This window comes from Homo sapiens, chromosome 1, assembly GCF_000001405.40.
Source record: "Homo sapiens chromosome 1, GRCh38.p14 Primary Assembly".
Lineage (NCBI taxonomy): Eukaryota > Metazoa > Chordata > Mammalia > Primates > Hominidae > Homo > Homo sapiens.
The window spans coordinates 3,266,355-3,294,183 of NC_000001.11; the positions used below are offsets into that span (position 1 = coordinate 3,266,355).

The window sequence follows — 27,829 nt, forward strand, 5'->3', positions numbered from 1 at the left end:
ACCAGAGAACAATGCGCGCCGGAGCCTTTTCGCCCCGAGAGCCCCTCGCACTTACCTCAGTAGACGCGAATTAATTCTCTCCCCCTGAGAGCCCCAGAGAGACTGGGGAGGACCGAGCGGTTCGCATTTGCAAAGCTCTTAATCAGTGAACTGCGTTGGAGGCATTGCTGCTCCGCTCCTCCGACGAGGAGAGGGCCCCAGGGGCAGGAGCCACTCCCTGGATCTCAGACCCGCTTGTCTCGCAGGCGGGAGGCACGGGCCTGCACCCTCCGCCGCTCCCACGCTCCAGCAGACCACGGTGGGGCATGCATTTTATTTTTATTTATTTATTTATGTTTGAGACGGAGTCTTGCTCTTGTTGCCCAGGCTGGAGTGCAACGGCGCAATCTCAGCTCACTGCAACCTCTGCCTCCCAGGGTCAAACAATTCTCTTGCCTCAGCCTCCTGAGTAGCTGGGATTACAGGCAACCGCCCCCACGCCCGGCTAATATTTTTGTATTTTTAGTAGAGACCGGATTTTGCCGTGTTGTCCAGGCTGCTCTCGAACTCCTGACCTCAGGTGATCCATCCGCCTCGACTTCCGAAAGTGCTGGGATTACAGGTGTGAGCCACCGCGCCCGGCCACGTGCATTTTAGAGCCATCTCCTTTTCTTTCTTTTCTTAAACCAGTGTGAAATGTACAAAACGTATAACTAATTATTCTAAAATGGACAGTCAGCAGTATCTAGTACATTCGGTATTTTGCAGCCGCCTCTGTCTAGTTCTGGAGCATCTTTGCTTGCCCTGAAGGAGACCCTGTACCCGTGAGCAGCCACGCCCATCCCCTCTCTTCCAGCCCTAGGCAACCACAAGTCTGTCTTCTCTCTTTCTGCATCTGCTCTTCTGGACATTTCATCTCATGGAGTCATGCAGCGTGTGGCTCTTATGGCTAAAATGTTCACTGAACATAATGTTTTCAGTGTTTATCCATGTTGTAGCTCGTGTCGGAGCTCTGTGCCTTTTTCTGGCTGAGTAATATTCCCCTGCGTGGAGGGGCCACACCTTTTCTATCCACTCGTCCCTGACCGGAGGACGTGAGGCTTGTTTGCACCTGTGGGTGTTGTGAATCGTGTTGCTCTGGGTACGTGTGTACAAGGATCGATTCCCGTGGAGAGCGCCCTGGGTCTGGGATGGCTGGGTCACAATAACGCTATGTCTCACTTTTTGGGGAACCTCCAGACTGTTTACCACAGTGGCTATACCATTTCACATCCCGGGGTGCCTGTGTTCGTTTGACTCAGAGCTGCTCAGAAACGAGGAGCGGCCTCACAGAGCGGCTGAAGGGGCGGCCCCTCCCGCACCAGGGTGATTCCAGCCCCTGCCCCTCCTTCTGAAAGTTGAGCAGAGCGCCAGCCTCTCCCTCAGTGAGCCGCTTCTCCATCCCGCGCCGCTGCGGGTCCACAGTGGGTGTCGGTGGCAGCATTGGCTCCCAGGCCCACAGGAAGCCTCCCTGGTTCACAGGACACAGGTCCATGACGTGGATCCTAAGCCGAGTCAGAAGTGGAATCCAAGCCAGGATGGAGGTGGAAACCCTGAGGAGTCCGCCCTGTTGTTTTGGCTTTGTTGTGACAGGGGGTGGATCTGCCTGCCGTTCGCAAGCAACGCGGGTGCAAAACAGCCAACCTGGGTGCAGACCTCAGGGGCCTGCGGACCACGGCTCCCCGGCCCTCAAACCATGACCCCCGAATCTAACAGGGTGCCCGTTTGCACACACGTGGGAGCGTACGGTGAGCAGGTCCTAGACTTCGGCTGGCCCACTGGTCTCAGGAGAAGGGCCCGACGCTCCTGCTGCGGTTGCAGTCGCCCCCGGCTCGGCGCGCGTCAGACCAGGTGCGCGTGGAAGTGTGTTTGTCTCCGCTAATCCACGGGGGAAGGAGAAGGGCAGAGTCTTTGTCAGGCTCCGAGCAATTAGGATAATTAAAAAAGAAGGCTTATTGGGTAAACATGCTCTGGGATTGTGACCCCTTAATTAATGGACTACGGGGAGAAATTACAGCAGTGGCAGGATAATTAACGTGTGCACTTCGCAAAGCCGGTAGACCAGGGTGTTGGAGGACGGGATGGCCAGGCTGGTGCAGGGCGGCCGGGGAGGGCAGACGGGCCCTGCGAGGGGCGAGGCTCATGGGCAACAGTGGGCAGCCTGGCAGGCCCTGGCAACTTGGGGCAGGTCACAGGAAGCCTTCACCCTCATTCCTATAGCTAGCTTAAAAAAATCCATCACTCTCAGCAGAAACCACAGCTGCCCCTGCAGCACCCCTTCCCCAGCTGTCTGCCTTAGCAGAGGCACAAGGGTGTGGGAACCCCAGAGTTCCCTGAAGAAGGGCTTCTTACCCCTAACCCCAGCCTCAGAGTCCATTGGGGTCACTAGAGTATTCTAATATTCCTGGTATATTCGAGGAGGGCAGCCGTGAGCCATGACCCAGTCCAGGGGCTCCCAGCCTGCCCCACCGCATGCCTCAGGGTGAGGGGCAGCGTGGGAGGCTTCCCCATGCTGCGCCAAGCCAACTTCAGCTGCTGTATTTTCATTTCGCTTTACCTGAGGTGGCCCCATGACCTGGGGGTCCTTCCAAAGGTTCCCACCCCCAGGGAGCCTGTCCAGGCCCCCAGATCCTTGATAGGCACTGCAGAGGCAGTGAGTCTTGGAGACAGGCGTCTCGGGCTTGTTTCTTGCTCCCAGGTGGGGAACAGAAGACAGGTGGGTGGGCTTTGGGATGGGCTTTAGAAGGTGGCTCCAGGCCAGAGAGCAATGGCCATGGCCACTGGGCTTCTCAGGACCGAGGCTGGTTCAGTCCCAAGGAGCAGGCAGTGGCTGGGGTACCAGATGGACAGCTGGGAGGAGGAGGACGGCCCCAGAGGAACACAATCCCGGAGGAGGACAGTCGGGGAGAAGCGCAGCCCAGAGTAGGACAGTCAGGAGGACAGTCCCAGAGGAGGACAGTTGGGAGGAGCACAGTCAGGAGGAGCAGTCAGGAGGAGGACAGTCCCAGAGGAGGACAGTCCCGGAGGAGGACAGTCGGGAGGAGGACAGTCCCAGAGGAGCACAGTCCCAGAGAATGACAGGGAGGAGGACAGTCCCAGAGGAGGAAAGTCCCAGAGGAGGACAGTCCAGGAGGAGGACAGTTGGGAGGAGGACAGTCGGGGAGGAGCACAGTCCTGGAAGACAGTCCCAGAGGAGGACAGTCCCGGAGGAGGACAGTCGGGAGGAGGACAGTCCCAGAGGAGCACAGTCCCAGAGGAGCACAGTCCCGGAGGAGGACAGTTGGGAGGAGGACAGTCCCAGAGTAGGACAGTTGGGAGAAGGACAGTCAGGAGGAGCACAGTCCCGGAGGAGGACAGTTGGGAGGACAGTCAGGAGGAGCATAGTCCTGGAGGAGGACAGTCCCAGAGGAGGAAAGTCTCAGAGGAGGACAGTCCCAGAGAATGACAGGGAGGAGGACAGTCCCAGAGGATGAAAGTCCCAGAGGAGGAAAGTCCCAGAGGAGGAAAGTCCCAGAGGAGGAAAGTCCCAGAGGAGGACAGTCCAGGAGGAGGACAATCGGGAGGAGGACAGTCAGGAGGAGGACAGTCAGAAGGAGGACAGTTCCAGAGGAGGACAGTCAGGGGAGCATAGTCCCAGAGGAGGACAGTCAGGGAGGACTGTCCTGGAAGAGGTGAGTCCCGGAGGATGACAGTCCCAGAGGACAGTCCCAGAGGATGACAGTCAGGGAGGATGACAGTCGGAGAGGAGGACAGTCGGGGAGGAGTACAGTCCCGGAGGAGGACAGTCGGGAGAATAGTCCTGGAGGAGGACAGTCGGGGAAGACAGTCCCGGAGGAGGACAGTCCCAGAGGAGGACAGTCAGGAGGAGGACAGTCCAGGAGAAGGACAGGAGGAGCACAGTCCCGGAGGAGGACAGTGGGGAAGAGGACAGTCCCAGAGGAGCACAGTCCAAGAGGATGACAGTCAGGGAAGAGGACAGTCCCGGAGGAGGACAGTCAGGAGGAGGACAGCCAGGAGGAGGACAGTCAGGAGGAGGACAGTCCCAGAGGAGGACAGTCCCAGAGGAGCACAGTCCAGAAGGAGGACAGTCGGCGAGGAGGACAGTCGGGGAGGACAGTTCCAGAGGAGGACAGTCCCGGGGGAGGACAATCAGGCGGAAGACAGTCCTGGAGGAAGACAGTCAAGAGGAGCATAGTCCTGGAGGAGGACAGTCGAGAGGAGGACAGTCGGGAGGAGGACAGTCCTGGATGAGGACAGTTGGGTAGGACAGTCCCAGAGGAGAACAGTCAGGAGGAGGACAGTCCCAGAGGAGGACAGTCGGGGAGGACAGTCCCGGAGGAGGACAGTCGGGAGGAGGACAGTCCCAAAGGATGACAGTCAGGAGGAGGACAGTCCTGGAGGAGGACAGTCCCAGAGGAGGAGAGTCGGGAGGAGGACAGTCCCAGGGGAGGAAAGTCGGGAGGAGTACAATCCTGGAGGAGGACAGTGGGGAGGAGGACAGTCCAGGAGGAGGACCGTTGGGAGGAGGGCAGTACAGAGGAGGACAGTGGGGGAGGACGGCAGTTCCAGAGGGGCAGTTCCAGAGGAGCAGTCCCAGAGGAGGACAGTGTGGGCCCTGTTCGCTGAGTCTGCCAGGGCCTCCCAGAGGCAGACCTTGGTGTCTGCCACGCTCCTCCCAGTCCCGGCTGTGGCCGGCCTGCCTGCCCCGCCACGTGCATGCAGGGGATATGCGGTGGGAGGAAATGCTGGAGATTTTCAAGGGCAGAGACTGGACATTCACGCCAGTGTGGGGCCCCGGACGCCTCCAGGTCAGAATGAAAGCCCCAGTCCTCTTATACAGATATCCCTCGAGGAAGGAACGAAGCATTTCCGCCAATCAAGGAGGCTACTTCCCACAGCTAAACAGAGCCTGGCTCTGCAAGATGTCTAAGAGCCCTGGAGGCAGAGTGAGGCTTCCTGAAAGACCCTTTTCTTCCTAGCAGAGCCTCCCTGGGTCTCCCACAGTGGGGAACAGTGACTAAGGGAAGTTTGGGGTGAAGAATTCACTCTTAAGCCACTCCCAGCCAAATCCAAAACATAAAGAAAATGGTAGCCCTTAGGAGCTCAACCCAGTGAGAACCCAAGGCCGTTGTCCTGCAGCGGACGTGGAAATTCTGACCCTGTGAGCTGCCCTTGGGGGTGAACCCATCTAGAACCTGTTCCATGACCTGGAGCGTGAGGCCAGGCAGGGGGACTGTCTGGGTAGTCCAGGGGCCCTGGCAGAGAACCAAGGGCTTGCATTTCTCAGCTTTGGCTCGGGGCAAGCCCAGGCTGCCTGGTGATGTCAGCTGGAGGGGCACCTGGTGGCAGGAAAAGCTCCTGCCTCAGAGGCCAGAGATGATCCTGGCATCACCTTGGCTGGCACGGGACCATCTCTGACCCCCAGCACGGAAAGCAGCAGCAGGCCGCGGAGTCCTGGGCACAGGGCTCCCTTCTCTCTTCTGCTCCCATCTGGGGATGTCTCCCCACTACCACCTGCACACACCACCCTCACCGTCTGTCTTGCAGGTAGGATAAGGTGCCTGATCACAAGACCACACATTGCCCTGGGACACACAGAATGAGACAGCTTCTCCCAGCCATGAAAGCACCTGTCAGCTGTCTACCAGGGGCTGCCTGGGTTGGGACACGGTGCCCACATGGGTGTCAGGAGGACAAGAACTTCCGGTGCTTGCAGACGCTTCCAGAGGTGGCTGGTGGCCAGGCAGTGCTCAAACCCCAGGGAATCTGGCTCACGGTTTCCTCCAGGGCGAATTGGCAAGGCCCAGGGGCTCTCAGACCGGATCCTGCTCATCCTGCATCTGCAGCACTCCACGGGGACAGGCGTGTGGTGAGAAGGTGGCAACAGAGTTGGCTGTAGTCGGGCGCTTTAAGGCCCATCTAGAGAGGTAGGGGCTCTGTAGGGGGCTCTCCGTGGGGGCTCTTTAGGTTCCCATGGTCTCTGAGGCCAAGGCTGGATGTGTTTTTTGTTTGCAGCTCTCAGGGCACAGAGAAATCCATACCCCGGCCCACAGGCACGCGCTGGACTCTGTCCTGGGCACGGCGGCTAGAGTCGTGCAGCCTCTGCTGTGAGGCTCCTTCCGGGACCTCGGGGAGGCTCGCACTGGGGGCTCGGGAAACACCCGCCTCCTGGGGCTCCATTCTCCAAAGGGACGTCCCGCCAGTGAGCCTGGGGACATTCATGCTCCACCCCAGCTCCCGTGTGCAGGTCCCCGGGTAACCTGTGTGTTGGCTGCATCGCCTCAGTTCTGCATTCGTTCAGGAAGATTCGAAAGTTCCCTATGAGATGCCTGTGAGCCCCACCACCACTCGGAGCTCTGCCTGAATGTGGGGTTGGGGGCCAGCCTTCCAGGCCTGGAACAAGGTGGGCGAGGCCGAGCCCATCTCTGGAGCTGCCCTGTGCCCCCACAGGGAGGGCTGGCTCCCCTGCTGCCTGTGCCGATGAAGGGGACACAGAGGCCTGGTGGCTTCACGGCTCTGCCACTCCCCAGCCTGGGCTCTGAGGGCCGGACCACTCTGAGTCTCGAGTCTTGTGTCTGCCACATGGTGGGGACCTGGTCATGGGACCGTCCTGGGGGGCTTACCTGAGGCTGCAGTTACACTAGTGCTGTGGTCGAGAGGGCAGCCGGAGTCTGCGTGGGAGAGGATGTGCGTTCAGAACCAGAAGCTGGTGCAGAAAGCAGAGAGAGGAAGAAAGGCCCAGAAACAGGGAGGATCCCAGGGGCAGTGGGGAGCAGGAGCAGGGATGAGGTGGGCTCCATGGCAGAGCAGGTTTTTACCCAGCTCTTAACCATCCCCCAACGCTGGTTTCTTTGTTGGGTATGGGGAGGCTGCCTCCCCAGGGCACCAACCTTGGATCACCACCCCAGTGCCCAGAAGAAAGCCTGTTCTGCCATTCGAGGTGCCTTCTGGGCAGGAGTGGGGAGCAGCAGTGACACTTCCACATCTCTTATGATCCTACCCATGGTGCCCTTGGCATACTCTGATCTGTGTGTGGAGGAGGTGCACATATGAGGGTGCGTGCACATGTGTGTGTGTGGGTGGGTGGGTGTGAGTGAATGTGTGTGCACATGCATATATGAGCTGCATCTATAAGGGTACATGTCCATGTGTGTACGTGGGTGGGTATATGGGGGCTGCATATATAAGGGTACATGCCCATGTGTGCACATGTGTGGGTAGGTGTGTGTGTATGTACGGGCACGTAAGTGTGTGTGTGCATGCATGTGTGTGTATGGCCTGCATCTATGAGGGTACATTCCTGTGTGTGTGTGCATGTGGCAGGTGTGTGTGCATGGGTGAGCATGTAAGCACATGTGTGTGCATGGATAGGTGTGTGGGGGTTGCATATATAAGGGTATATGCCTTTGTGTGCATAGCGTGTGGCTAACTGCATAGGCATGTAAGTGTGTGTGTGTGTGTGTGTGTGTGTGTGTGTGTATGGGCTGCTTATATGGGGGTGCCAGCCTACGTGTGGGTAGGTGCGTGTGCACGTGTGGCATGTAAGTGTTGTGTGCGTGTGTCCCAGGCACCGTTCTCTCACCGTGGACTTGGTATGGGGAGGTAAAAAAAAAAAAAAAAAAAAAAAGCCACTGAAAGGGAACCAGCCGCATCCATCTCTGATGGGTGAATTAGGATCCAAATTTTTAACTAATTGAGTACATTAAATAGAAAGTCCCTAAGAAAGAAGGGAGGAAAAGACGAATACAAGACACTTTTCAAAGCTTCTTTAATAAAAAGTGTATTTGGGATTTGACCATGATGGCTATCCTTGCTTGCCAAAACCTGACGCCCTGGCAGGTAACTTTCATCAGGCATCTCTGAAATGGTACCTAAATGAATTAGCAATAAAATGGACTTAGGCCGAGCAGTGGGGGCCTCCATTAATCTTGGGTTAATCACTAAAGAGGTGCCATTCACTTTTCTTAAGAAGTCACATTTCTCTCCCCTTGCTGGCGACCAGATTTCATAAAGTAACATATTTCTAATGAAAGGTCTCTGCTTGAATTAAACCCTGAAGGTTTATGCAGATTTTGCGTTTGATTACTGCTGGCATGGGCTCTTAGCCGGCTGCGGAAGGAAGGTCCGTTCTGAAAGGGCCCCAGCGTGCAGTTCATAATATTCTTTGAAATAAAATAGTGCACTTGTGCTTAGTGGCTTTAATCAGCCCTGACTTTTGATAGTCAAACAATAGCTAATTACAGTAGCACCTGCCTTCCAGGCTCTGTCACGTCGGCTCCTGCCGGAGCGAGGCCTTGTCTGCGAGCTGCGTGATTATTACAGACTCTGTCTGCACAAAGTCGCTGGAGCTGACACCCAGCAAGTTTGGTAGCCATTAGGGAAGGTTTATTTTGCTGCTGCATGGCTGGCTTTTCCATTACCTTCTTCTCCTTTGTATGTTTGGGGGCAGTGGTGTCGAGGGCATGGAGGCATGAGGAGGCATGTTAGGGTGTGGGTCCCGGGTCCTGAGACAGCCGGCTTTGGACACATGGCACCTGCTCAAGGCGTTCTTGCTCTGGGGATGCAGGATGCACAGATATGCTGGGAACTTGCTCGAGATTTGAGAAGGGTGTTGTGAATGCTTGCCATGTACCGACAGCAAGGTTGGACTCTGAGCATCCCCCAGCCCAGCAGGAGCACGGATCTGGCTGGCTCCCAGGTGCGCCTGGCAGAGCCATTCTGGACGCTTAGGTGAAATGTGCCGCCAGGCACTGGGAGCAGGAGGCGGGCCCAGTGGAAGTCATAAATTACTATCTCATCATATAAGTCTTTCCTTTCTCATTAATTTTGCCTGGTAAATGAACCTGAGTTTGCCAGAATCCAGCCAAGTGAGTAACATCGGCCTGTCAGCCATGGGCTTGACAGACCTTGTACGTAACAAGTTCCCGGAAAGGATCAACCGGATATCGGGAATGAAAAAGTGGGGGCACCCCGTCCCATAGACACAGGCCAACCCAGCCTTCGCTCCTTCCTGCCTGCCTGTCTCTCCCTGGCCCCTCTGCCCACCCCTACCCCGCTGCAGGACACCCCCAAGATGAAAGGGCAAGGAGAAGGAGGGCCTGGGGGACCTGGCTACCAGGACTTCCGGACAAACAGTTGTCAGGCACTCGGCATGCCCCGAGGTGGGGGGGTTCAGGACGGGTCACCCTGTCCTGGTGCAGGCAGCACTCCTCGGTGGGGGCAGTTTTGGGCACAGTGCTCGAACCAAACGCCAGAGCCGGTCCTGCCCAGTGCTCCAGTTCCCTCAAGAACTCCATCCGGTCCCCTCCAGGAGAGACCGGGCAGGGCTCAAAGGGACCTTCCTCCTGGACTTTAGGTGACCTTTTGCTGAGGGTGACGTGAGAACCACCAGTGAGAGCCAGGGGGGCGGGAGGGGAGTCATTCCAAACTGGGGAGAGCCGTGCACATCCAGCGTGGAAGTGGGTGGCACCCAGCCAGGCCCTAGTCTCTTCTCGTGGGGCCAGCGTCTGAAGATGCCCTCCCAAGCCATTCACATTGCGGCCAAGACCATGTTTCCCTTTCTCTGTGACCCAGCTGCGCCCTGTGGGTCTGTGCACTCCAGCACACGCGTGCCTGCTGCGGCCTCCCCGGTCTCTCTCACGCCGTGGGTGCCATTTCCGCTCTGCCGGCTTTGGTCTCCGGACACCACGTCGTGTTGACAATTACCCACAGCCAGGACTTGCCAAAACCTGGAGTTGAAAGGGCTTCAAGGGGGGAGAAACCAACTGGAAAGCTGTTTTCTGTTAAGGCAGGTTTATTTTTCCTTGCAATTATGTCTGACTAAAATGTCCTTGTGCGGGAGTCACTTCCCAAGAGAGGTCTGATTCATCCTGCCCTGGGCAGCCCCCCGGCCCCCGCCATCCTCGCCAGGCCTGCCATTGGGCCCGCGGTGGGAGTCCTGGTCTCAGCACCGCAGACTCCAGCAGCGACCAGGCCTCTTGAGGGGCTCTGTGGGTCCATCCCAGGATGGAAAGCACCCCTGAACCTCTGGGAGCTCAGGAGGGGAGCGTGGACTCTGCTCGTGCCCGGCCCTGAGCTGCCTCTGCTGTGGGAGCCTCTCATACCTACATGAAGTCAGCTGCATGAAGACTGGCCAGCGACCCGGACCCGCCCGCAGGAAGGCCCCACGGCCCTAACTCCGCCGGTGTCTGACCCCGAGCTGTCCCAGCCCATGGCCTAGAGGAAGCCCAGGGTTCACATCCCAGGGAAGCTGCAGGGCCTTGGCAGCATGTTCAGCTCGTCGGCCCCAGCCAGCTCGAGGTGCCGTGAACAGAGCCAGCGAGGGGTGCCGTGAACAGAGCCAGCGAGGGGTGCCTGTTTCCTCACGGTTTCCCCTTTCTCCCTGGAGAACAGCGCCAGCCGCCTTGTAAATCACCCCTTTGCCCCGTCTGACATCTCCTGTTGCCTGGGCCGCCTCGGCCTGGACCCTGAGGCCAACCTAGTGATGGAAAGAGAGCGAGCCCTAAAGGGGGCTGGGCTTGGTCAAGTTCAGCACTTCCTCCGCCATCTTCTCCCCATCCCCCATCACGACCCCGGGCAGCGTCTGCCTCTCGTCCCCGTGGTGTTTGCCATCACCAATCCGTTTGATTGATCATCTCGGTGGCCACAGGTTGGTAATAAAGCTGGTTTCAGAGCCTCTTGCATTTCCCCCAGGACCCCGTTGGCATGACAGGACTTGACACCAGCCATTCGTCACCTGCTGCCTGTGGTCTCTGCACAATGACCAGCAGACAGACAAGAGCCAGGCCAGGAGGAGGCTTCGGGAGAGGCTGGGCCTGTGCTCAGGGCTGAGTGAGACTAGTGGACGTGGCCGGCCCCATGCCTCTCTGTGCACGGCTGGATCTTGCAAACAGTCGAGTCCTGGCTGCTGCGCCACCCGGGGATGGCATCGTCTGTCACACGCTTCACTCTCCCTGTGGCGCACTGGCATCCACCATGCCCACCTCAGAGGCCAGGAGGCACGTCAGCCGGGAAGGCTGCAGGGAACCCCCAAGCCCAGGCCACCAGGGCCCTACCCTGCCATGGGGCGCACTTGCTCAGGCCTCTCCTCACCACAGGGTCTCTGGGTGCCTCTGTGAAGACAGGATCCCAGTACAGGAAAGCCCCAGGCTGGCCCCGACCCTCTCCTTTTCTGGGAGGAAAAATGGGTTTATGTTGTGAATCCGCTGAAGCCCCTGGGACGTTGTCCAGGGACAGGGTCAGTGAAAATGTCTCAAAGGTCGGGGACTGGGCACAACGAGGCATTGACCCCAGATGAATCCACAGAGCTCCCGGAGCAGGGGAAGTAGCCCTTGTTCACCCACATGCACACACACACGCGCGCACACACGCACACGCACACACATGCACACACGCGCACACACACGCACACATATGCACACACAAACGCACAGTTGTGAACACGAGCATATGCACATGCACACACGTGCACAGGCACATGTGCATAACCACTGTGTAAACACACCCAGGCACAAACAGGAACACAGACCCATACACTCATGCACATGAGCACACGCACTTTTCCAACACCGTGAAGTCCGTGCATCCGGGAGCTCTAGGTCAGCGATCATTGCTAGCAGGCCATGGGACCCTCTCATCTGAAAAGGAGGGAGGGCAGGGCAGGGGCTTGTAACCAAGAACTGTGTCTGGGGTCATTCCTAATTCAAGTCTGAGACAGTGTGAAGGCTTCTTCTCATTCTCATGGCCATTTCCCCAACCCCACCCAGGTCCCTAAAGCCCTATCATAGCCTGGCCTTACCGTCCTCGCCTGGTTTTCCAGCCTCCCACCCTGCCTGGGGCAGAGAAGACCCCCTCAAGGCCATGCTGCATCTCCTCCAGCATCCCAAATCCTCCCCATGGGCCATCTCCCACATGGTGTGGATAAAGGGGCGTCTTTCCTAGGGACAGCCTGGCTGCGCCCTTGCAGCCACACCTAGGCCTAATACTGTCTGGATGGCAAACAGGGAGCTGAATGAACCCCACTGCACAGGCAGGACCCCAGGGGCAGCCTGCAGAGTGTGGGAGGGGCCTGTGTGGAGTTCACATTCATGCAGGATATTTCAGCAGCAGCACATTTGCTCACATCGGCAACCCCCTCTTCTAAGCACCCACCTAAAGCGCAGTCACTAGCAAATGGAACATCCCTGTGCTGGGCATGAAACAGGCCCTGGAACCTCAGCCGCACCCGGCACCCTGCTGCCCGGCGGGGCCTGCAGTCAGCCAGGACACCCGGCAGCCACAAGGCCGCCCTCTCTGGAGCCTGTGGTCTGGTTCGGCTAGGGTATTGTGATCTGAGGACCCTTAGAAAACTGGCCACCCGAGAACTTTTCCAGTGTGACTGCTGGCCTCTCTGGCAGACGTGTCCAAACTCAGAAAACCTCTGCTGCTCTGACCACAGGGAACGTCAGAGGGGACGGGGCAGCGGAACAAAGCACAAAGCGTCCCTGCGTCCTCTCAACGTGGCCCAGCTCCTGCAGACACTCAGCGAGCCGTGGCCTCTCCCATCCTCCCACGCTTCCCTCCGGCCGGCCCTGGAGATCCGTGGAGCCACACGGTGCCGAGCGCGGCGCTGGCCGTGTGCTCCGTGTCTGTCATCGTCAGCCCTGTCCACCTTTGGGGCAGGGGCAGCTGGGCTGGCTCCAGTTTCTCTCCATGTCAACTTTGCAAAGGAAGGAGGTGGATGCAGAAGCTGCCACCAATAGCCACGTGGGCAGCTGTGGCCCCGAGTCCGGGGATGCAGTTGGTCATCAGGAGCCTCGAAGCGTCGCTCACCATGCCTGGAAAGACCGGCGGCCTCTCCTGCCCAGGCGCAGGCCCTCGGCTCAGCAGAAGCCCTGCAGAAGCTGGAGCAGGAGGCATCCCTGGGTCCGGCACAGCCTGTGGTCAGGCCGCCTCTGCAGCGGGGCAGGGTAGATGTTCTCCCCTCAGATCTGAAACGCAGAGAGGAAGGGCGGGCCCTCGCGGTGCCTCGGGGCAGCTGTGCTGAGCAGTGTCAGCCGCTCCGGGCGAGGGACCAAGTGGCCACACTGGCCGCAGAGCTGCCCTGCCCGGCGGCGTCAGTCTGGGACGCCCTGCACGCCTGCCCCTGCCACCAGGCTGGCTTCCTTCTGAGCTGCCTCGGCCGGAGACCCCTTGTGACTGGGCTCTCTGTGGATGACAAAAGGAAAGACTTGAGCAAGAGGCTCTGAGGAAGGTGCCGGCCCCTCTCCAGACTCCTGTGCCACAGGCTGAGGACGGGCAGCCGTCAGGGAGAGTCTGTGCTGCAGGAGGGCAGAGGGTCGGGGGAGTGGAGCTGAAGGGGATGGTGGAGGAAGGAAGGCAGGACAAAGGGGCCTCCACCGCCTCCTGCCCCTTTCCCCATTGCCTGAGGACCAGAGCCTGCGGGGGGGTGGGGACAGGGAAGTGGCCTCCTGGGCCAGCATATCCCTGAGCCAGTGTGGAGTGGACAGGCGGCCCCTCCTCCCACCCCCCCCGGGCACCCACCACCAATGTGGGTCCACACCATTCCCCATGACGTCAGCCGAGAAGCATGAGCTCGGTCAAGACAAAACCTCATGGAATCCCGAGTCTTTTAAAAGAAATATTGATTTATTTTCCAATCACGATAATGCCATACTTTTTTTGTAAAACAAGCAGGGTGAAAAAAAAAAAACATTTAAATAAGAAAGTCAGAATTATCCATGAGTCCTCTATTGCTGTGTGGAAGCCAGTTATGGTCAGAGAGAGACATTCAGCACCCACTGCATGGGTAGGGGGTGGCTGCCCCGAGCTGGTCACCAGCTTAGTGCCAAGTCTGTGGCTTGTTGAAGCCGACTCTGTGTGTTCGTGTGTTGGTGTGTGCATGTGACGTGTGCACATGAATGTGCGCATGACCTGGTGTGTGTGCACGTGTGTGTGCATGCTTGCAGCCCAGTGGCTGTCTCAGGGGACATGTCTTCAAGTGTGTGGCTCCCTGTCTCACCTGGGGCAGGTATATCTGGGAGGGTGCAGAGTTCTCTGTTTGCACACAGAGGAAGTGGTTTTCTGCCTGAGTCCCCCCACCCTTACTGCCAGCGTCCAACCTCACACCAGAGAAAAGCCAGAGTTTCATGTGCGGAGGGACGGCGTACATTCCAACAAGGTCCGTCCTTCCCACCTCAGGCCTTCCATCGCCTCCCTCGACTCCCACCTGGAGCCTGGAGGCAGCTGGAAGAACCCACCTCTCACCCCAGCAAGGTCTGTGGCGTTAAGGTCACACTGGCACCAACTAAGAACTAAGACCTTCTCTGAGGCATGAAGGCTGTTGCTTAGCTTTGAAAACAGTAAATGTGAATGAAAGGGAACCTTGAGAAAGACCCGTTCCTAGGTGAAGTGAGAAGCAGGCTAGACTGGCCGTCCCGGGCCATACCCACCCTGTCTCCAAGGGGTCTCTGCCCAGGAGAAATCAAAGTGGGGTTCTCACAGCCCCTGGGGCAGGGGCAGGGAAATTTGGTCAGAAACAATGCGGAGCCCCCAGGGCTTTTGTCAAATCTCCATCCATGGGTTTTGTTTTCTCCCCAGTTCTGAATCTGGGAGGCCGAGTGGCTGCCCAGCGAGGTTGGCTCTGGGCTGAGGACAGCACTGCCTGGGCCTCCTTCCCTGGGTGGTTGTTCAACACCGGGCAAGTCCCTGCACCTGTCCAGCCTCAGCCCACTGTCTCAAAAGTGGGGCCATTGGCATTCTGGACTGTCAAGAAGCTTGAGAAACTGGGCCCTAGGAGGATGCTGCAAGATGCCCAGATGTCCTCTTCAACTCGAAACGTTGCCATCTGCCTTGCTGGCTCACACCCAGCCCCTACCTGAGAACGCAGCTGTGGGCACTGTCGCCCAGGAGGAGGCCTGGCTGCTGAGACGCTCCCTTCCTACAGCTGCCGGTGGCCAGAACCCTCCACCTGTGCTCCAGACCAGGCTGGCACTGAGACGCCCACCCCAGCCATGGTCATTTAGAAATAAGTAGGTGTCCACTATATGAAATCGAAATAGGGATCATTCCTGTGCCTGCCAATAAAACACCAATCTCCTTGAGAGAAGCAGCCTTGAAACTTATCAGTCATTCACAACTTAGCATGATCAGATTGATGAGCTATGATCAGATTGATTGATTAGCTATGATCGGTTTGATGTGCTCTGATTGGGTTCACTGATGAGCTATGGTTAGATTCATTGATGAGTTATGACCAGATTGATTGATGAGCTATGATCAGACTGATGTTCTGTGATCAGGTTCATTGATGAGCTATGGTTGGATTCATTGACGAGCTATGACCAGATTGATTGACTAGCTATGATCGGTTTGATGTGCTCTGATTGGGTTCATTGATGAGCTATGGTTGGATTCACAGATTAGCTATGGCCGGATTGATTGATGAGCTATGGTCCGATCGATGAGTTGCTTTCAGGAAACCAGGGATAAGGAGCAGGCAGACGCCATCCCTGTACCAGGGGGTGCAGGGTGCTCAGGGAGACTGGAGCCCCAGTCTGCCTGGAGCTGGCATGAGGCCAAGGTGGGCGCCCGCAGCCCTGGATGTGGAGGGGTGTTCTAGAAGGAGTGCTGGCCTGCAGGAAAGGCCTTGGGCTGCAGTCAGGTCAGCCATGAACCCTTCAGTCAAACATGTGACCTGAACTGAGAACCCCAGGTCCAGCCTCTAGGTATGGGACGCCAGCTCTCTCCTTACCACCGAAGCAGCTTTGGGCTTGCACATGAAAAGCTTCCGAACCTTGACTCCCTTCACAGGCCTGAGCAGTGAGTTCCCAGAATGTTCTAGAAGAGGCATGTGCTCAGGGAGGCCATGCTTCAGTGTGCAGACGTTTCCCCAGAGAGGTCAGCAGGTGCCGGGCACCAGCCCTTCCCCAGACACAGGCTGGCCCTGCCAGCTGGCTTAGCAGGGCGCTGCCTGTGTGTGGAGTGGGGGCTCTGGGCTCCTTGCTTGGCCCCCACAGGTCCTCGACCCAGAGACCTTGTCCCCCCACTGTCGGGCTTAGGACAGGCCAGGGTCACCCTCAGCAGAACCTGGGGCCAGCGCCGCAGGGCCCCCTGGTTTGGAAAGCCTGTTCCTCAGCTCTGTCCCAGCGGGCACTTAGCTGAGGATACCCCTGATGCTGCTCCATGCACACCTCTCACCACGATTCAATCCACCTGAGGATGGTCACCTTCTCAGGGAAATGGGGAAAGACTTATTGCCAAGGTCACTGAAGCCTTCCTGGTCTTGGTGTCTGGAAAAAACTCGCCAAGAGAGCAGGCATCTCCCGAGACCCAGGAATCAGCATGGCCACCAGAGCTGGTCACTGCCACTCCGAAGCTCCTCAGGCAGCTTCCTTTCTCCCTAGGGAGGAGACACTGTTGTCCGTCTGAAGCCTGGCGAACGTGGGACACAGGAGGCAGCCGTGGCCGGAGGGGCACGAGGGTGGTGGGCAGCCAGCGCTAGCCCAAGCTCCCGGGGTCACTCCAAGGAGTAGTGAGGGCTCCCCTGCAGGTGCAGTGAGAGGCGTGGTAGTATTAGGGCGGTTAGAGGAGGGGCGTCTCCCTTCCCTTCCTTCTGAGTTTTCTTTGACACTGTCATCTTTCAGTGCAGAGTCAATGCTGCAGAAGGCTCCCTGTGAGACAGGCGAGGCTGTGAGGCCGGGTGGGAGGCAGCGCTTCCCGAGCAGGTGCGGGGTGCGTCTTCACTCTGCCCCTCCCGACACTTGGTTTTGGAGGGGTCTGACCCAGTGGCCGGGCTCATGGGTGGGAACTGGCCAGCCAGCCCCTCGTCACCTTCCCTCCTGCTTGGGCTCCACAGCATATCCCAGGCACAGCTGCCCATTAGAGGCGGGGCTGTCCCTGCAATGGAGGTGCCAGGGAATGTCTGTCCAGGCCTTGGCCAGGGCCCGGGGTGGCTGCAAATGGCCTTAGGCCAATGAAGGACACAGCTGCCCCCCAACCTTGTTCATTCTCCAATGCCCCTCCCTCTGTCCCTCTCTCCCTCCCTCCCTCCTGCAGCCAGACCCTGGAGGTGGGCTCCATGGCATAGGACAGCCCCAGGCAGACCCAACTCACCCACTCCCCAGAGTGGAAAGAACAGCCTCTGCCCCACACTGCGCGGTGCCCCTAGGTCCACAGCAGAGACAGACACACAGAAGAGAGGGGACGGACAGCGAAGGGTTACGGGGACCAGACCTCAAGGTCAGAGGAAGAGAGAGGGGACGGTCAGCAAAGGGTTACGGGGACCAGACCTCAAGGTCAGAGGAAGAGACAGGGGGTGGTCAGCGAAGGGTTATGGGGACCAGACCTCAAGGTCAGAGGAAGAGAGACGGGGCGGTCAGCGAAGGGTTATGGGGACCAGACCTCAAGGTCAAAGGAAGAGTATATTTCCCGCCTGCTTCCCCCAGCATCTTCCAGCAAAGCCGGCTGGTGGTGTTGCGGCCACACAGCCTCCCCGACCAACATCCAAGCCTGCAAAGCTAAGAGGTTAGGATCTGCAGGAGCCCAGGTGCCTCCGCGGGAGGAATGTGGCTCAGATTCGGGGGACCGGTGCGCGGTGTGTCCAGGAGACGCAGGCACATCGCAGGGTTGGAAGTGCGCTGGGGGCCTGGCCTGTGGTCCTGGCTGGGATGCCGCCATCCTAGGGTAGCGGGCCTGGGGGGGCCTGGAGCTGGGGGCCATCCTCCCATGGCCTGGGCCTGGGGCAGGGGCTGCTGCCCGCCACCCGCCACCCGTAGCCCGCCCGGGAAGCTGGGGTGGAGGCGCCCTCTATCGCCTGCCTGGGGGACATCTCGCCAAAGCACACCGGTTTGCAAAGGCAAACCGACATTAAGCGTCCCAGGTTCCCCAGACATTATCTGCCTTTTGGGAACCTTTAAAATAAAGAGTCAAACGTTTTCGGCCCCTGTCTGGCTTTTTATGTAAACTGAGTGGTTCCTGGAGTGTGTTTTTTAAAGTGTTAAGATGGCAGTATTTATCTGGAGGGGGAGGGAGGAAGAGCCAGGTGGGCGTTCTCCTATTAGGCCAGAATTTTCAGAGAAAACCAGTGTAAGGCGTGGCCAAAATGATGAGTTTGTTTCCCGGTGGCCTAGGAGTCTGTCCAGAGCAAAGCAACTGCCAGGTGGGCTTCTCCTGGCACTGTCGCCGTGAAGCCTTCGGGAGCCAGGACCTGCCAGCAGCCAGAGTTCAGCCCTGCAGGGAAAGGGGCGGCCAGGGGGAGCCCCACACCCTGAGAACGTGGGAGTGCGGTCTTGATACAGATCATCTTCAGATAGACTCTGTGGCCTTATGATGGGGAATCTGAGGGTTCATTCTCAGCCAGAGAGGAGGATAAGGGGTGTTGCTTCTAGAAACGGCCATGCGTCTTGGGGGCTTCACGGAGCACCTGTGAGCCTGGGGTGGCCAAGCCTGGGAAACCCAGCGTGGTCCCGCCCAGGCCAGGGCAGAGCAGAGAAGGGTCAGAGCTGGAGGCCGGGCTGAGGAGTCTGCAGCCGCCAGGGCAGCTTCCGAGCTTGGTGCACCTACTCACCACGCTGGCCCTTCCTGGGCTGTAAGCCCTGAGTGACCTGCTCCCCTCTGGGCCCGGGCTTTCGGAGGCGAATGTTGGTAGGTTTCTCTGGCCGGTATAGCCCTTGAGCATGGAACGCTTCACCTGGTGCCCTGGACGGGGTGCAAGGGAGGCAGGCTGGCACTCTCTGGCCCCCCCAAGTTCTGGGCCAGCCCCCAGCATTTCCTGCTGAGAGTCCCAAGGTCCTTGGTGAGGTTTTCAGAGCCCACTGGGCAAACCTAGGGTGAGGTGGGCTGTGTGGACTGCAGCCAGGAGCAAAGTCTGGCCTGGGGCACCCCAGCCCTCTGGCCCCAGCCCCGTGGAGGCCCCTGCCTCTCCCCTCCAGCTGGCCACCTGGGCGTTCTGATTACCTCTCCAGGTGTGGCTGGGAAAGCAGCTCTGCCCTCTGCCCTCACCCCATTGTTCCCCAGGCTCTGCCTTTCAGGTCGTTTTACGTTTTCACCTGATCCCTGTGATGCTGCAAAGCATTCCCAGGCCACTGAGCAGCCCTGCCACAGCCGCTGTGTCGCCCCCACTCACAAATCTCGGGACGGACATGTCCCCTGCCTTCCTGGGAGCAGGCATGCTCCCAGGAAGCTGTGACATGCTCGCTCGGGAGCTTGGAGCTGTGACATGCTCGCTCGGGCTTCTTCGCTCACACCCGCGACATCCACATTGGCCGTGGTCATAGCCAGCCTGAGCCCAGGGCGTGCTTGAGCCCCTCCGTCTCTGGTCCCTGGACGGCCAAGGTCAGTTTCCTCCCCCTGGAAATGGCTAGATGAAGGTCTGCTTCTCCAGATGCCAGCCTTGCTCCCAGGCCATGGCAGAGGAAAGCCCCCCCACCACCGGACACCTGGCATGTCCACCTGGGGAAAGGGCACTGGCCCTCTCTGGCAAGAGCTTCTCAGACCCCAGGGTAGGTGGACTTTGTGGTTTTCATCTCTGCCGAGCGTGGAGCCCAATCAAAGATCCAGGCTCCGCTGACGAGAAAACCCAGAAAGCCCCTGCGGCGTGACACAAGGAAAAATAAATATCAAAAGAACATTTGACGAGCTCAATAAATTGATCATATTGTGCTGAACCTTCACCCCCATAACTATGGGACCATTTAAATGCTAATGCCATTTTTTAAAAAGTCAATTACAGGAGTTTGCAAGGAATGGAGTCAGCATTCCCCACGACAGCCTCTCCTCCTCCAGCTCCCTCTCCTCATCCACAGGCACTGGGGCCTTTGCTCCCCTGAAGGAAATGTTCCCTCACAGTGGTCCCAGTAATTGAATCAAGTTGATACAGACACCAGGAATATTGCAAGTTGTGTGGGTAATGGGAAGCACGTGTTGATAAAGTGGTCAGTGTTTGCGGACCAAGGGGGGCCGCAACTGCAGTTAACCCTTCAGAGAGCACAGCGTCCCCACAGCCCGAAGGGCCGCCCCCTGCCTGGCAGAGCCCCAGGTGGGTGACATGCAAGCATTCCGGAATCTTCCAGCCCTGGGTTCCTGTTTCCCATCAGCACCTGCTCTGCTCTGCAGACGGCAACATGGCCACAATTCTCCCTCCTCTTGGTGGCACCTCCTCACCAACTGGACCCAACCGAGCCTGCAGCCTCCTGAATTGACATGCAGGAGAGGAGAAAGAAGAAGACATGGACCCCCAGAGAAAGCTGGATGCTCAGGAACCCCGTGTCCTCCATAAGGGCCTGAGGGCCTGGGGGTTCAGCCTTCTGCACCCCCAAGTTCCTCCCACACCAACTGTGCTGGTGGCAAAATTCTAGTCACCATTTTCATACCGACAGCCTCTACGTGCTGGGCGCTTAACTCACAGGAGACCTGCAAGCCTCACTCGGGGAAACAGAGGCACACAGAGTGGAGGGGCCGCCCAGCTCAGATGCAAGAGGATGGAAAGCATGGGACTCAAAGCTGGGTCTGCCCACCCTTCCTGGGTGCTGGGACTCAAAGCTGGGTCTGCCCACCCTTCCTGGGTGCTGGGACTCAAAGCTGGGTCTGCCCACCCTTCCTGGGTGCTGGGACTCAAAGCTGGGTCTGCCCAACCTTCCTGGGTGCTGAGTCTGCCCACCCTTCCTGGGTGCTGGGGCCCTGTTCCCCTGACCCTCATTTTCCCACCCTTGATCTGGCCCATGAGGTCCTGGGGGCCTGGAGTCTTCCTGGGGTCAGCAGGAGGCCTGCCCCACTGGGGCGGCAGCATGGACGCTGGGAAGTGGGACCTGGACGCTTGATGTTGAAACCGTGGTGCCTCCAGGATGCCCTGAGCGCCGTAGGAGAGCTCCACTTCCCAGCCACGCGGGCATCCAGGATTGCATTTACCGGGGCTGGAGGCGCCCCGCCACGCGGGCATCCAGGATTGCATTTACCGGGGCTGGAGCCGCCCCGCCACGCGGGCATCCAGGATTGCATTTACCGGGGCTGGAGCCGCCCCGCCACGCGGGCATCCAGGATTGCATTTACCGGGGCTGGAGCCGCCCCGCCACGCGGGCATCCAGGATTGCATTTACCGGGGCTGGAGCCGCCCCTGCCACGCGGGCATCCAGGATTGCATTTACCGGGGCTGGAGCCGCCCCGCCACGCGGGCATCCAGGATTGCATTTACCGGGGCTGGAGCCGCCCCCTGCCACGCGGGCATCCAGGATTGCATTTACCGGGGCTGGAGCTGCCCCTGCCATGCGGGCATCGAGGATTGCATTTACCGGGGCTGGAGCCGCCCCCTGCCACGTGGGCATCCAGGATTGCATTTACCGGGGCTGGAACCGCCCCGCCACGCGGACATCCAGGATTGCATTTACCGGGGCTGGAGCTGCCCCTGCCATGCGGGCATCGAGGATTGCATTTACCGGGGCTGGAGCCGCCCCCTGCCACGTGGGCATCCAGGATTGCATTTACCGGGACTGCAGCCGCCCCGCCACGCGGGCATCCAGGATTGCATTTACCGGGGCTGGAGCCGCCCCCTGCATGGAGCCTCGCACACCCTCAGGTTTCTCACCCCGGCTGGGGCAGCTGCATGGCCGCATTTCACAGGGAGAGTGTAAACTGCTGAGTTACAGGCAGAGCCCTGGGCTCAGGGGTGGGCGGAGGCCCTGACCAAGCCCAGGGCCATGGGGGCTACAAGGAGGCAAGGCCCCTAAAGTCAGGCAGGGCCAGCTAGCTGCCCGGCCATAGGAGTCTGTCCACACAGCGCATGACAAACAGAGTGCCCAAGGAGCCAGCTGGTCTTAGCCTGGCAGAGGTGCCAGATAATCCAGCACTGGAGGCTGTGGCTGTGGAAGGCTGGCCTCTGACCCTCATGCCCCCAGGCCCAGCACTTGGGACAAGCAGCTGAGACCTAGGGGCCTGCGGTGAGGAGGTCCCTGGGTGTCCTGTGTGGACCCAGGCTCAGGGGCAAGGCCAGGCAGCTGGGACCCTTCCCACTCCCCGCTCTGTCTCTCTCCACCTCAGTTTCCAGACAAAGGCCTTCTCTGGGCTCTATGTCCCACGGCTGGAAGGGAACGCCCTCACCTTGAGGGCTCCAGCCTGCTTTTTCTGAATCCCAGGGTCCTGGCTGGGAACGCTCAGATGTTGAGACCTGAGCCTGTGGCCAGGAGTGGTGGCAAAAGGGTCCTGTGGGCCCCCAGCCCAGCTCCAGCCCAAGCGGGGGACCAATGCCTGTGCTCACCTAGGGGTCCTGGTGGGACCGAGGCCACCACCACCCATAGCCCCTCCCCCACCACCCCAGGGGCTCTAAAGATGCAAACCTCCAAGGTGTAGATAAGAGAGACCCAAGTCCTGCAGCCAGGAGGGGCAGCCTCTCCCTGCAGGAGCCAAAGAAGGGCAGAGGGGCAGCCAGCCCTCCCTGCCTTGCAGCAGGGAGCAGACATCCCTGGAAGGGGCAGGGGCCAAATGTCATGTGCAGGGTCCAGGCTGCCCCTTCTGGGGGAGGAAGTAGGGCCTCCTGGGTGTTCTCCTCCCACATTGACCAGTGCCTGCTGCCCCTGGGTCTTTGAAGCTTCAGAAGTTCCCTAGAGTGGAAGAGCAGACCAGGGGCCTGCCATCCTTGCGTGCTCACCACCTCCTCACAGGGCCTAGGGGCAGGGGAACTTGGCTGGCTGCCCATGAGCCCCTGGCCGAAGACCCCAAGCCCTGCAGAGGAGGAGGCTGATGCTGCATCTGGGGTCCCACTGCCTTTTCCCTCCTGTGCTTGTCGCCCGGCCCCTGCTACAGGGCTCAGGTGGGAACACCTCTGCGTGGAGGGAGACCCACCAGTGTGGCCACGGGCAAGGCCCCTGATAAGGTCACAGGTGGGGAGGACCAGGGCTGCTGAGACTGAGGCCCAAGCCCCCTGCCTAGGCCCCCAGAGATTCCTGGGTGCGCTGGCAGGGAGGGGGTCAGCTTGGAAATCTGCAGGTGGGCAAGCTCTCTGGTGTCCCGATGCCCGCCGGAGTCTGAACGCAGCCCCTGCAGGTGCCAGATGGGTGTCTGTCGACAAATTCACAAGTACCTGCCTGCAGCGAGTTCCCACCTGCAGCTTCCCCACGCTGTTTTTGTTTGGTGCTTCCAGAAATCATTTCATCCTCCTCACCCACACTGGTGCCCACCCTGTGCCAGGGCTGGGGGCTTGGGTGAAGGAAGCCCAGTCCCAGTGCCCACAGCCCAGCAGGAGGAGACAGACACATTAGCAAGGCCTGCGGGCAGGTCAGGAGCTGGGCGGGTCCACGGTGAGCCCCAGAGCTGCTGGCAGAAGCGAGGATGGCCTTCCAGGGGAGGGAACGGCACAGGCAAAGGCCCTGGGGCAGGACAGCACGGATGTGTCCATGGAACATGGGACAGCCACGGCCTTCACAGCTGCTATGCCTGTGGTGTCGGCTCTAGTTCCAGGGCAAAGGATGGAAAGAAGGCCGGGGCCCCGCTCCCACCCAGGAGTCAGGACCCCACTCCCTCCAGGGCACCGAGACCCCACTCCTGCCCGGTCACCAGACCCCACTCCCTCCAGGGTGCCAGGATCTCACTCAATCCAAGTCACCAGACCTCAATCCCTCCAGGGCACCGAGACCCCACTCCCACCCCAGGCGCCAGGACCCCACTCCTGCCTGGGGCTGCCCCTGCTGCTGTGCCTCCCCTGGTGGAGCGGTTTCTGGCTTTAAAAGTGTGCTCGTGAGCGCAGGGTGTTTTTCCTGAATGAAAACTCACAGAGTGCATGTGTCATGCTGATGTGACAAACCCGGGCGCTGTTCTCCTGGGTATCACACCCTACGACTCCAAGGCTGGCCCGGCACAGGGGCTCCCCTTGAGGTGGGCAGGTTTCCAGGCATTTGGAAGTAGACATGGGAAGGAAGGAGCGACGGGGTGGGAGGGATCTGCCTGCCAGCCCACAGGGCTCAGGGGTCCTCAGAGGTGTCGCCCCTTCCATGCTCAAAATGGCTGGAAGAGGAGAGCCTCTCAGTATCCCCACCTTATAGATGAGGAGGCACAGAGAGGGGGAAATTTGCCGGTTCCCCAAAGAGCCTGCTGCCTCCACCTGCTGTGTTCGAAGCGGTGATTTTTCTCTTGAGGCCCCTGTGTCCTAGCATTTCTGAGCTCAAAGGAACCTGTGTCTGGCCAGCCCCTCCCATGCTGAGGACAGAGGTGAATGCTTGGGACAGCGAGAGGTGGCATCACTGAAGAAGCCCCGTGGCTCCGGCTCCGTCTGCAGGATCCCTCCCAGGACGCAGTGGTGGGCCCAGGCCGGCCAGCGCTGGCTGAAGGAGCACTGTCCCCACAACCCAGGGAAACAACAGGGCTCCAGGGGGACGTGCAGGGAGTGGAAGAAACTCAAGCCGGGAGCTGTGGATCCAAAAATATTGCAGAGTTTCCCGAGGCAGGCCCTACGAGATCCCTGAAACGGGATACGCCGAGCTGAACTTGGCCACATAATGCCGCTCTGTTTGGGAAGGGCCCGGAGCACTGGGGGCCCGAGGTATCTTTCAAAGAGTGATGGTTACGGAAATTAGTGGTGCAGAAATCCATACTCATCATTCATCGGGGGCCTTATTAACCTTCTTACGATGTGATAGGAGCGGCTTGGCCTCCTGACTCCAGGGGCCTGGGAGAGGCCATCCTTGTCTCCGGCTTGGAGGAGAGATGCAGGAGGATCGCCCAGGCAGCACCGGCCCCACCCGCTTCCGGAATCCTTGGAGACACGAGTAGCAGTTTCCTGATGTGATACTTAGGTCATGAGGCAGGGCGTGGACCAGGACGATGCACAGCTGAGAGCAGCCCACACGGCCTCTCTCGGGGTGGCAATAACACTGCCTCAGAGACTGGAGAGAGCCAGGCCCAGGAGACCCCAGTCAGGGCGTTCCCAGGAACAGGGAACCCAGAGAGGCCTGGGCATCACACACACCTGCGCTCACAGTGGCCCCACCTGGACCCCTGGGGGACCCACCCTTCTTCCCCTTCTGCCCCTGTGTTGCTTCCTCTGCACCGCAGGGGCCAGGTAGCTGCCATGGAGTTGTCTGCAGGTTAAGGGAGGCCAAGGAAAGGCATCTGACCTTTGGAAGATACCCCAATAAACACCATCCGCTGTCATCACTGATCCAGCAGCTGAAACATGGAAGGGCCAGCTCCAGGGGCCCACAGGCCTCGCAGAACTCAGAGCTCCACACTCCTCCCGCCCCTGCCCATCCCCTCTTGAAGGGGCCTCACCAGGCCATGGGCTCCCTATTAAGTAATCACATCAATGTCCATTTTAAATAAGGTCTGAATGCTATGAAGCACCCGTGTTGGGTCAAGGCAGCTCTTGGCAGTGCGGGGGAGCTTGTTAGAAATGCAAGTCCCCTGAACCCCAGCACTGGGGGAGACGGGGGTTCTGTGTAAATGCCCGGCAAGAGAGCTGCATTCCAGTTTGAGACCCACTGGGTTGGACATAGCAGGTGAACGCTGGTCCCAACAGCTTCTCTCCTCGAAGGGAACAGTGCACCTCCCACTGCTCGAGACCAACCTGGGAGGCTCCCAGGGCCCCTCCTGGGCCTGTCTCCCCCCACACAGCAGGTGCCTTCTCCCGGGCTCCTTTGGGGCCTACCCGGTGCCTGGCACCCTCAAGATGCCTTTACATCTTGTGTTTTGGGCTTGGCCGCAGGACCCCGCAGGAAGGTGCATGGCCGCTTCAGCAAGGCTGGCGGAGAGGGCAGATTTTCTGGGCCCACAGGCCTTGGCAGGATGCTGGCCTCTCAAGGTTGCACTGACAACCTTGGGCACGTGACGGATTTATTGAGGGGAGAGCAGGTTGAGCTGTTCTGTCCAATGCCGTCGCCAGGAGGAACCTGCCGTGGCCCGGCCTCAAGTCCTGTTACTCAACACTTGTCTTATTATGCTGCAAAGCCAGAGCAGAGCCGAGGTGATAACGCGGGCACGGCAGGCCCGGGCTTTCCAAACCTGCTCATTTTTAGCCCCTGGGAATCAAAGTGGTGTCCGGCTCTGTCCCGCAGCCTTTGATCCTCCGCCCAGTGTCTCCAGCGAGAGAGAAGCAAAGAACACAGAGAGATAAACCACACTTGAGCCGTCGCTCTCCGCCTGGCTGCGCCTCTATCTGGGGCCGCAGCGTCCCCCGAGTGCTGAAAAGAGTTCTCCTGGTGAGCGGCACCGTGACCTTCATTCTTGACCGCGCTGTCCGGATGAGAGTGGCTTGTCCAGACGAGAGTGGCTTGTCCAGACGGAAGGGGAAAGGACGGTCTGCCTGCTCTCCTGAAGGGAAGGGCCAGATAGCGAGGGAACCCACCTCCCTTCCTGTGGGGTGGAGGTTTGGGGGTGGAGGTGGCCCCAGGAGACAGGGGTCACGGAATTGGCGCGAAGGGAAGAATGGGGAGCCCAGGCTGAATGTTCTCCACCAGCACATCGGTGGGGGCTCAGGAGGCCAGTCCCATTGCCAAGCGATGAAACTCTTGTATCTTCGAATGGCCTGGGTGGGTTTCCGGCAGCCAAGAAGCGTGAGCAGCCCTGTGGAAGGAGGGGAAGAGGCACTGGTCTTTTCCTGTTTGTCTTCTGTGGGTTGACCCTCACGGAGGCACTCCGCTCCGGGCATGACCTCGGACTCTTGAGGAGCCTCAGTTCGGCTGTCTTTCTGCAGTTAATTACTAGGACAAGGGAACACATCCAGGTGCCTTTCACAGGGACATCGCCCATGAGGGCAGGGACTGCACCCTATTGACCCTATATTCCACCCCAGCTCCTGGCACTTGGCCGGGGCTCAGACACGTGTTGAGTGAAAAACTGCACATTTGGGCAGAGTTACCAGCAATGAACCTGCCTCTGTAGAGGATCCTAAGTCGGGGCGAGGGGGCCCTCAGTGAAGCCTACAGAAAGCCAAGCAGCCCAGGGGTTCCCTCTCCACCTGAGAAGCAGCGAGACCCTGTCCAGGTCAGCGGGACCAGCACCGCATCCCAGGCCACCCGTGTGTCAGCACATAACCTTTGAAAACACCGTGAATGCCGGCTTTGATGATAATATGTGGGTAAAGGTTGTATTGCTATCTGGGTGATGATTCATCCGTCTGTGAACCGGGACAAGGAGGTAATAGGAAGGCGCGATGGCCAGGGGCAACGTTGGAACGCAAACTTATCAGAGGCAGTGAACTCCGCGCTGCACTAAATAGAATTCCATTATTGTTTCATAAATAGAGAGATTGAAGTACCCAGGCCAGGAACCGATGATCAGAGGGGAATGCGTTTGAGCTCCGCTCTGAATAGTATTTGTTCTGAGTAAGTGGTTGTCTCGGCTAATAGTAGGGTATTTCATTGTTAAGAGCTTGTTGAGCAGGATTTATGGGTGAGTCCAGCACGGCTGTTTGTGCAGGATGCTCAGTGGTCGCCAGGGGTCCGGGAGTCGGCAGCAATGTTGTTCCATCCTTTGTCGGCTTCTCCATCTCCTGGTGAACGTTGCCCCTTGGAGAGGCGATGGCGTGGCCCGGCCCCGGCAGGTGTCTGAGGGCCTGAAGGCACCCCCGTAATCCCAGCACACTCGTGGGTGCCGGCAGTGTGTGAGTGCGTGCGTGTTGTGTGTGCATCTGTGAACATATGACAGGATTCGGGTTTCTGGCTTCTCTAGAAGCCTGGGCTAGGCCATTCCCCTGCCTCACTGTGGCGGCTCCTTACTCCCCCGGGGGCCAGGCGTTCCTGCCATGTGCCCACCTGAGCCTTGGCAGTCAGAAATGATGGTACCTACCTAGAACCTGCCTACCAGGTAAACAGGCGAAACCTAGAACCTGCCTACCAGGTAAACAGGCGAAACC

General features: G+C 59.0%; 2 protein-coding genes across 3 annotated transcripts in view, besides 3 other annotated features; both read left to right on the plus strand.

Annotated features, from left to right (window-relative positions):
* PRDM16 (PR/SET domain 16) overlaps positions 1–27,829 on the plus strand; it is a 369,419-nt gene that overhangs the window by 197,152 nt on the left and 144,438 nt on the right. The gene's annotated exons all lie outside the window — the stretch shown is intronic.
* The window catches only part of LOC124903828 (collagen alpha-5(IV) chain-like), a 30,331-nt gene continuing 3,092 nt past the window's right edge, over positions 591–27,829 (plus strand). The window contains exon 1 of the mRNA XM_047436627.1: positions 591–27,813. Within this exon, the coding sequence (XP_047292583.1) occupies positions 20,465–21,628 (1,164 nt within the window). The 5' untranslated portion in view covers positions 591–20,464 and the 3' untranslated portion in view covers positions 21,629–27,813. The remainder of the gene's footprint in view (positions 27,814–27,829) is intronic.
* Positions 7,663–8,510: an enhancer, noted in NCBI's record as "VISTA enhancer hs705". NCBI's record gives its function as "enhancer in: hindbrain (rhombencephalon)[5/6]" and the evidence as "EXISTENCE:transgenic organism evidence [ECO:0001131][PMID:17130149]".
* Positions 8,900–10,099: an enhancer, noted in NCBI's record as "CDK7 strongly-dependent group 2 enhancer chr1:3191818-3193017 (GRCh37/hg19 assembly coordinates)". NCBI's record gives its function as "activates an origin of replication core promoter dependent on BRD2, BRD4, P300/CBP, MED14 and CDK7 cofactors, with strong dependence on CDK7, by STARR-seq in HCT116 cells {active_cell/tissue: HCT116}" and the evidence as "EXISTENCE:reporter gene assay evidence [ECO:0000049][PMID:35650434]".
* Positions 26,911–27,205: an enhancer, noted in NCBI's record as "tiled region #1987; HepG2 Activating DNase matched - State 1:Tss". NCBI's record gives its function as "activates a minimal TATA promoter and a strong SV40 promoter by Sharpr-MPRA in HepG2 cells {active_cell/tissue: HepG2}" and the evidence as "EXISTENCE:reporter gene assay evidence [ECO:0000049][PMID:27701403]".